A 10217-nucleotide genomic window follows, 5' to 3' on the forward strand; every position below is an offset into this window, starting at 1 on the left:
AAGAAGTATCTGTCAGGATGCAGTTTGAAAGACATCATTGTGCAAGTGTGAATCTCAAGGCTTCGGCTGCTAAGAAGCAAAAATGGAATATGGTTATTTGTTTTCAATAAAGCATTGGGCATTTATTACTAATACTCTAATGGAGAAACAGGTCAGTCTAACCAACATGGGAAGATGATAACACTCTATATACTGCTTCTCTTCTCAACAGACTTTCTACAACAAAATACCCATAGTTTCAGCTGCCAGAAAATATAAACCAAAGGCCTTGTTTCAGTGGGATTTGGGGTGGCATCGATAGTATAGTGGTAAACATAACTGCTTTTCAGTAGAATTTGGGAAGGCATGTACTGGGTTTTTCTTCATTCACTCAACAAATATTTATTAAGTGCCACGATGTGCCAAGTACTGCCCTGGGCACTTGGAAAAACCACAATGAACAAAACACAAAAGTCCCTGCATCATGAAGGCTATGATCGCGGAGTGTTTCAGACTGCCATGCTCCTCCAGAGAGAAAGAACACCTTATCATGTGCCTGTCATTAAAGGGCCTGGACCTTTTTCTTCAATTTCTTTCAAATGCCCTCGATGACTCTGTCAATGAAGTTTGTATGTGTGCCCATATGTGCTGTTTGAAAGAAGGAAGAGAGAGGGAAAGAAAGCAACACTGAAACACGATTCAAAAAGTGATAGAAAGATTTACCTTTATGATTGGGAAAGCCACAAAGACATGAGTACTGGGAAACACAAAAGAACACTAGTGCAGATGGAAAAATCTATTTGTTTTATTAGGAAGATGGAAAATATTATCAAGATGTCAACTCTTGGCCAGGCACAGTGGTTCACACCTGTAATCCAGCACTTTGGGAGCCCAAGGCAGATGTATCATCTGAGGTCAGGAGTTCGAGACCAGCCTGACCAACATGGTGAAACCCTGTCTCTACTAAAAAAAAAATACAAAAAAATTAGCGGGGGGGTTTGGTGGCACATGCCTGTAATCACAGCTACTTGGGAGGCTGAGGCAGGAGAATCACTTGAACCTGGGAGGCAGAGGTTGCTGTGAGCTGAGATCGCGCCATTGCACTCCAGCCTGGGCAACGAGGGCGAAACTCTGTTTCAAAAATGAAAAAAGATGTCAACTCTCATGATTTAAGCTATAAATTTGATATATGACAAAAAAATTCATAATGGTCTTGTGAACTAAGTTGATTCAAAGCACAAAGAAAAATCTGAGGGGGAAAAGTCTAATGAGGGAGGAACTAGCTCTACCAGATGCTGAAATATAAAGCTTTGATAACTGAAAGTGTATGCTAACTCATAAATAGACAAAACGGTGGAACTGAATGAAACACCGGGAAATAATTCCAAATCCATTTGGGAATTAAATATCTGATCAACATGCCACATTGCCCATAGGTCTGTTGACCTCAGCAGCATTGTCAGTCATGCAGTGTGGTCCTTCACCTCCTTCTCATTAGGAGGCTTGGAGCTAACCAGAGGTTGTGGGTTCAGGAGTAAGAAAGAACACTGGGCTTAGATGGCTAGACACCAGAGCACCAATCTTGCTCTACCACCTGTAACTTGGTGACCTTGTGTTGAGCTTTGGTTTCATTGTCTATAATATGAGGATAATGAAATCCATTGCCAAGCTTTATTGTGGGGATAAGTTTATATAATATATGAATCTACCTAACAAATATCAACTATTTAACAAAATAAACATATTCTAATTGAATAGCTTAACGGGCATCTTAACTCCAGGTTGACAGTTTCACAATTTGTCTGTCTGCAGACAGAAATTGCTTTTTAAAAATCTCAAATCCTTTTTTTTTTTTTTTTGCCATTCAACATGTAAATAAGATTTAGAAAAAAGAATTATTTTAAAGCTCAGATTTAGAGTCAATGATTTCCTTACAGAGGAAAGTCTTTATAAATAAGATCAAGTTGTTGAGTGGGTGGATGAAATCCAGCAAGAGAAGTTTCAGTTACATAGCACAGGAAAGGATCTTCTTTTTTTTTTTTTTTTTTGAGACGGAGTCTCACTCTGTTGCCCGGGCTGGAGTGCAGTGGCATGGTCTCAGCTCACTGCAAGCTCCGCCTCCCGGGTTCACGCCATTCTCCTGCCTCAGCCTCCCGAGTAGCTGAGACTACAGGCGCCTGCCACCACGCCCAGCTAATTTTTTTGTGTTTTTAGTAGAGATGGGGTTTCACCATGTTAGCCAGGATGGTCTCGATCTCCTGACCTCGTGATCCGCCCGCCTCGGCCTCCCAAAGTGTTGGGATTACAGGCGTGAGCCACCGCGCCCAGCCCAGGAAAGGATCTTTTAACTTCTGTGTTTTAAAGGAAGATGTGGAGCTTTTTAAAGATGACGCTGCACTAAGCATGAGCTGATGGAAACCTGTCCTGTGTGTAGAGAGCACCCAAGGTTCGGGTGTTGTGCCAAAATGGAGACCTTACTCTTGGACAAAAGAAGCTTGAACAATTTATGGTGAGGGTAGAAGTACAAACAAAATTCCATGTAATTTTTTAATTTCCACCTTTGGTTATATTGTACAATTCAGTGCCTAAGGGATCAAAGGATGTTGAAGAGAGTTTTGGGAAATCACATATACTCTTGGGAAACTTCATGACAAAGGGCAATCTTGGGCAGTGTTGGAAAGGGACGAAGTGGATCACTTGGTGGAAAGTGGCAGGCAGAAGAGTATGTGGATGCCTCAGAAGTGGATGTGGTTAAAGGATGGAACAATGAAGGGTTTGATGGCTGCAATAAGGCGTACAAGACAATGAGATGAGTAATAAGCTGACAGAATGCTTGCTGAATAATCCTGATTTAAATTTGTCAGGCAAGTGATGAAAAGAATGTTTGCTGCTGGCCAGGATGGTCTGACCGAGAAAGCTAGACACAAGAGACAAATAAGGCTATTTCCATTGTCTAACTAACAATGCTTAGGTCCAAGCTGGTCTGAACCTGTGAGAACAGAGACAGTGCACAGCTTTGAAAATCCTGTAGGACAAGGAATCATGGAATTGGTGATTTTTCTGGACAAAATGATAGAGGAAAAGGTTTAACAAGGTTAGGATCATAGAAAGCTGACAGGAGGATGGAGCCATTGTCAACAAAGAGAACTTCAGACCTGCTAAGCGTTTGTAAGGAGCACAAGGAGAGAAAATAAACCCAATTTTGGCTGCATTTGGCTGTGGATGACAACCAGCATAACAACCCAATCTCCATCAGAAACGGAATCAAGACTTTAAATATAATAAATTCAGAATTCTTAGCAAAAAGAATATTGTGCTGTTTCTTTTGTTATGGGGCTAAAATTGTTCCCATTTATGATAGGCACAAAATATACTTATGAAAGTCATGCTTATCACTGACCTACATCTTCTGTAAGGAAAATGTATGTTACAGACACCAAGAAGAAGATCTCACCTCCCACCTTCTCTGTGATAGAGAAAATAGCAGAGGAGCACATTTTTGACAATCTTGCTAACAAGGGGAAACATTTCATGCAGTATCATCAGCTCCACAATCTGTCTTACTCCCAAGTCCACCAGCTGCTAAAATAATGAATTTTCTTTAGGTCATCATTTTGGTCTTTTCTTGGATACTGGTCATTGAAAAGGTGAGATGTTATTAGGTCATTGTGTGGGCTCCCAGATGGATGTCAGAGATGGGGCCATAGCTAATTGTGATATGAATATAGGATTTACATAATCAATGCCTATGTCACAATGTCCCGTAAGAAAATCAACATCATTATTTTATCATTCACACCTCATTTTTTATAAATGGATTAATTATTCACCCAATTCACCAGGTTTGGCTTTGAACAATCCTCAGGTTTCCCTTTCCCCCAGGACATGTCCTTAAATAAATTGAAGCATTTTTGTCACAATGTATTATAGTTTTAAACATATTTAGCAGCAGAACTTTTATTTTTCTAATGAGAACCTCAAGTTATTAAACAGTCAATATTCATTAAGGTCTTTCTCACCTTATTTGAATTTTCAGGGATTGATGGAAATTATGTCATTCTTTGTGAACTTCTGAAAAGCCTATGGAAATGAAGGCAAGTCCAAAAGAGATCCCAGCATCTTCTGAGCACCCACAGAAGAGTAGAGCTGCCCAATGTGACTACATATAAGAGCCAATGTTATATGCTGTTTGATATGCTTTTAGAAACATTAACCACACCTTGTATTACATAAAAGCAAAGGCTTTAGAGTCGGACAGGCCTGGGTCTGAATCTTGCTGTATGATCTTCAGCAGGTTACTTAGCCTCTCCAAGACTCAGTTGAAACTTCTGTGAAATCGATATAATAATACAGATCTTAAAATGTTGTTATGAGGGGAAAACGATGTGATATGTGTAAAGAACTAGCACAATGTCTAATGTATAGTAAGTGCTCAAAAATGGTAGGTAATAATTATACTATTGGAAATAATAATAATTACCTTACCTTATAGGGTGTAATCACCAGAGTGTGTAAGACAGAACTGCAGAGTTAGTAATGACTAACTGCTAGTTTAGTTAATGAGCTAACGGCCAGTTCATACCTGGCTAGCGTGCCACGAAATGGAATTTCTAACTCTTCTATCATAAATAGCATCAGCAAGTAAGACACTGAGGAGTCAAAATGCCACCTGGGTATGTATTAGTCCATTCTCACACTACTATAAAGAACTGCCAGAGACTGGATAATCTATAAAGGAAATAGGTTTAATTGACTCACAATTCCACCTGGCTTGGGAGGCCTCAGGAAACTTACAATCATGGCAGAAGGTGAAGGGGAAGCAAGTACTTTCTTCACATGGTGCCAGGAGAGAGAACTAGCAAGAGCAGGGAAAACTGCCTTATAAAACCGTCAAATCTCATGAAAACTCACTCACTATCATGAGAACAGCATGGGGGAACTGCCCGCACCCTCCCCCACCCCGCCCCATGATTCAATTACCTCCCACCAGGTCCCTCCCTCTTTATGTGGGGATTATAGGGATTACAATTCAAAATGAGATTTGGGTGGGGACACAGCCAAACCATATGAGGATATAAGGCTCTTCAACGCATACTTTTAGCAGAGTATCTATGATTTTAGTGAGTAGACCTTGACAGCTAAATAAAGCTATCTTCCTTCTGTCAGGATCCTGGGAACTTCTTCTATAGATACTCATTGTCTTATTTTAAGAACTGCCAGAGAAACAGATTCCACAACTTCCCTTAATAACCTATTTCTGTGCTTAGTAATTGTTCCTCTTAGTAAATCTTCTGAGCTAATCTGAATCCTTTGTGCTCTAATTTAAGGCCAGTCATCTCACATTTAATTCAGATCTTATTGATACCTGTATCACTATTGAACCAAATTACAACTAGAAATATTGACAAATGTGTTATCACGGAGATTTCAGCATGAGCATATGCATTTGACAATCAACTGTGATGAGTTAACATGCCAGAGAGTGGTATTGTTCATGTAATCAGAGACACATTAGCAGTGTTCTCTTAAAGGCACAGCCCCAGTTCATCTTTGACAATTGTCACACACTGACTTGTGTGACATGAATCAGAAATAAGCAGTATTTTAAAAGCCAGCAAAATGAAAGGAACAACATCTAAGTTGTTTTCGGCAGAGTTTTCTGCTGCTCTGGCCAAGATGCATCCCAGAGATTTGGTTTTCAGGGTGTTGGCTCATTCTCGTTATTTATTTTATTTTATTTTATTTTACTTTACTTTACATTTTATTTTATTTTATTTTATTTTATTTTATTTTATTTTATTTTATTTTATTTTATTTATTTTGGAGCAGAGTCTCACTCTGTCACCCAGGCTGGAGTACAGTGGTGTGAGCTCGGCTCACTGCAACCTCTGCCTCCCAGGTTCAAGTGATTCTCCTGCCTTAGCCTCCCGAGTAGCTGGGATTACAGGTGCCTGCCACTACGCCCGGCTAATTTTTGTATTTTTAGTAGAGATGGGGTTTCACCATATTGGCCAGGCTGGTCTCCAACTCCCGACCTCAGGTGATCCTCTCACCTTGGCCTCCCGAAGTGCTGGGATTGCAGGTGTGAGCCACCACGCCCAGCCAAGCTCATTCTCTTTAAAAGGTACCACTTCCTGGTCTGGTTTTTGGGATGGTTCGGCTTTTTAAGTCATGTCCAGAATTAATCAATAGCAAAAAAACCCAGCCGGGAGCGGTGGCTCACGCCTGTAATCCCAGCACTTTGGGAGGCCAAGGTGGGTGGATCACAAGGTCAGGAGATTGAGACCATCCTGGCTTACACGGTGAAACCCCATCTCTACTAAAAATAAAAAAAAATTAGCCGGGTGTGGTGGCACATGCTTGTAGTCCCAGCTACTCGGGAGGCTGAGGCAGGAAAATAGCTTGAACCCGGGAGGCGGAGATTGCAGTGAGCCGAGATCGTGCCACTGCGCTCCAGCCTGGGCAACAGAGCTGACTTGAAGAAAAACAGAAAACAACAACAATAACAAAAAACAATAAATCAGCCGGGCGCAGTGGCTCGATCCTGTAATCCCATCACCCTGGGAGTCCGAGGCGGGTGGATCATGAGGTCAGGAGATCGAGACCATCCTGGCCAACATGGTGAAACCTCGTCTCTACTAAAAATACAAAAATTAGCTGGGTGTGATGGCATGCAGCTGTAATTCCAGCTACTTGGGAGGCAGAGGCAGGAGAATCGCTTGAACCCGGGAGGCAGAGATTGCAGTGAGCCGAGATCACGCCACTGCACTCCAGCCTGGTGACAGAATGAGACTGTCTATAAATAAATAAATAAATAAATAAATAAATCCCTTGAAGCCCACATCCAGGTGAAAGTGACGTTTCTTTCTTTATCTTCATGTGTCAGAGAAGTACCAGTCCAAATACCACTGCGTTCAGGAGATTTGAAAAGCAGTGCTAAAAAGGGACTCAAGCGGAGCCATCGCAGGTGCCCGGCCATCTGCCCAGCAAAGCCAGGCGTGCCGCCAAAGACCCTGCAGCCTTTCTGTGTAGACTAGGTCGGAGTTCCAGAAGTGTTTTTTGAACATGATCCCTTGGGTACTGTCGCCCACCACAAAGAAAAAGTGGTTAAAACAAAATGTTCAGAGGCCGGGCGCGGTGGCTCACGCCTGAAATCCCAGCACTTTGGGAGGCTGAGGCGGGTGGATCACGAGGTCAGGAGATTGAGACCTTCCTGGCTAACAGTGAAACCCCGTCTTTACTAAATAAAATACAAAAAATTAGCCAGGCGTGGTGGCAGGCGCCTGTAGTCCCAGCTACTCAGGAGGCTGAGGCAGGAGAATGGCGTGAACCCGGGAGGCGGAGCTTGCAGTGAGCCAAGATCGCGCCACTGCACTCCAGCCTGGGAGACAGAGCGAGACTCCGTCTCAAAAAAAAAAAAAAAAGTTCAGAAAACATAGTATACAGAGGTGGACTGACCATAAACTGAGGAGGTATAAGATTTATTCATATAGGTCCCATTCAAAGACTTACACCTAAGGTATATTCATGATTTGTGTTCTCAGAATCACATATTCCCGGACCGCTCTGAAACCCACTTTCCTCTTCTGTAGAACAGCACTGAATATACCTCGCCTGCACCTAGTGTTCCTTATCTTAAAAGGGCCACCAATCCCAGCACTTTGGGAGGCAGAGGTGGGAGGATCATTTGAGCCCAGGAATTTAAGACCAGCCTGGGCAACATGGCAAGACCTCATCTCATTTTTTTAAAAAAGGGAGAGGGCACCAAAATCAGCTTCGGGACCCCCAAATCTGGATCCCACACCTGACTTTGGGAGTTTGCTTATTAATCTCATTATGTCCTAAAGTAAAGACTTCTGCCTAATTTCATGTAACCTAATGTTTCCTCTTGAGTGGTAGTAGGATAGCACTCTCTCTTTCCTAGTGAGCAGTCTGTCACACAGGAGGAAGATGACAGGTGACAGAGGTCACAGTAGTCCTCATATCACCCAGCTTCTCCCAGCCCCCACATGTCCGCGTGCCTTTCCCCCAGCCCCTGCCTCTCTAGATATTCTCTTCTTAAGGACATTTCATCTGGCAGGTGAGCAGGTCTCAAAGTTCCCGTTTCAGTTCCCCAGACATCCTTTGGAAGTGAGTGTCCTTTCCAGAGCTTTTATGTCACCTCCTTGTCACTCTCAATTAGAATCTGCTGGGCATTGCCTGAGCTCCCAGAAAGAACTGGGTCCTTTAGGACATAAAGAGAAATGGAAAAGGAAACTAGGAAGAAGAGCAGAGGTGGGTAAGCGACATTGTATTTATGCCAAGGGAACACAAAATGGGTGTGAGTATAACACAGAACCAGGTGTTCATAAATTTTTGTATGGGAGTGAATTGGCATTTTTTTCTTAGCATTCAAGTTTTAGGAGAAGAAAGGAGACCCTAAGCTTCTTGTGAAGAAAGGACTGCCTTCTACCCGCCAGGCCTGTTTTGGATTCCTGAAAGAGAAGAAAGGTTGCAGGGTTGGACCTGGTTAGTACTTGGATGGGAGAGAGTAGAAAGGCTTGTTCTTGGGCTTCCCACCTCCCACCAAATGTATCCTACGTACCTCACCTCTACGGAGTGACCGTCCAAACCTTAGAGTAGGGACTTGGCGAGAGGTGGGGGCATAGAAGCCTGTGGCATAAATGGCAAGTACGGTCTCTCTGTGTGATCAGCATGGGTCAGTCTCCTCCAAACATATGCTTTGGAAGTCCCTGTTGTGGTGAAAAGAGCCCTGCATGGAGTTCAGAGGGCATCTTGAGTCACAGTCCTGTCACTTACTGATTCAAAACATGTGATGGCTGTGCCATGATATTTTCTATTCCACGTACTTTTATTTCTTTTTTTTCTTACTGATCCTGGCCATTTCCTGGACTCCTCTGAGACCCAGTTTCTCCCTGTTCATAACAGGATCGTGACACCTGTTCATTCCCTGTGCTCAATTGTTGTTGCAGCTGAGTTCGTGATGAGTTGAGAGTCTGGGTCAAGGACATGGGGTGTTCAGCAGGCATTAAACATGAACCTCCCAGGGGGGCTGAGCATTGTCAGTCCACCTCCCCGCCCATCGCTCAGACCAGGTCTTGTCACATTTGCTTCCTTCAGCTCTGATTTCACAGCTCAGGGTAGCTGGAGGTCACAAGGCCCCTAGGCACCCACAAGCCTCTGATGTCCAGCGTGGTTCATGTGTGCTTTTGCCACAAGTGCCTGCAGCGGCATGAGGCAGCTGGAGGTTTGGCTCAGTGGATGCAAGAAGGAACACGAAAGCAGGGTTGTTTTGGTTTGGGGTTTAGATTTTCTCCCCTTTGTTCTTTCACTCAAGAAAGCATTTGAGTCTGGGCCTATCTTCCTGGCTGATTTCTTGTCAGAGTCTACTATTTTTGTTCTTGTCTCACATGACTAATGTTCTTAATTTCATTTCACTTTAATTTTTTCCTTTTGAACTCTCATCTCTTCCTCTTCTGATCTGATCTCCTTGCTCCACATTCCCATCCTTTCCCCCTTTTCAGTCCCCTCAAGTCCTTTTGAAAGCTTCCACACAGATAAGCAGATTCATCTTTCTCAATACAGATTAGGGGCAGCTCCTCTGAGGGGGGGAACCCCTCCATGCAAACATCTGCAGTTGCCCTGTGGGCCCCTCTGGCTCAGACTGTCTTACTATAAAAATACATCTTATACCATAAGCCAATGCACACGGGTGTAGGTAGAATTGCAACAATATTTAGCCTCAAAACATGTGATGGCTGTGTCACAATATTTTCTATTCCATATACTTTTATTTCTTTTTTCTTTATTCTTTTCCTCCCTCTCTCCCTTCCTTCCCTCCTTCCTTCCTTTTTCCCTCCTTTTCTTCTTTCTTTTCCTCCTCTTCTTCCTTTCTTCTTCTTCCTCTCTCTCTCTCTTTCTCTCTCCCTCACCCACTAAACTCATCTCAGGACTCATTAGAGTCATTAGTGGATTGTGACTTGTACTTTGAAAACCACTAATTTAGGAGCACTGTCTACCTGCCCTGGGGAAAAGGCCCTTTGCTTTGTTTTCTGAAACACATATTATCTGTATATAATGAGAATCCACTCCCCACCAAACAGATGAAATTTAAATACTCCTGGGGTGAACTGAGAGGTAAGGACAAAATGACAACAGGTCTCCAAATTGTGGAGTCATCTTGGGGTTCAGGAAGTTGGGATGATTGCTCTGATGCTTTGAGCTTCCCTAGTTCCTCT

At 43.0% G+C, this 10217-nt stretch overlaps 1 annotated feature.

Annotated features, from left to right (window-relative positions):
- Window positions 9630–9679: an enhancer, noted in NCBI's record as "active region_25013". NCBI's record gives its function as "activates an Ori minimal core promoter by ATAC-STARR-seq in GM12878 lymphoblastoid cells {active_cell/tissue: GM12878}" and the evidence as "EXISTENCE:reporter gene assay evidence [ECO:0000049][PMID:35858748]".

This window comes from Homo sapiens, chromosome 6 (assembly GCF_000001405.40).
Source record: "Homo sapiens chromosome 6, GRCh38.p14 Primary Assembly".
NCBI lineage: Eukaryota > Metazoa > Chordata > Mammalia > Primates > Hominidae > Homo > Homo sapiens.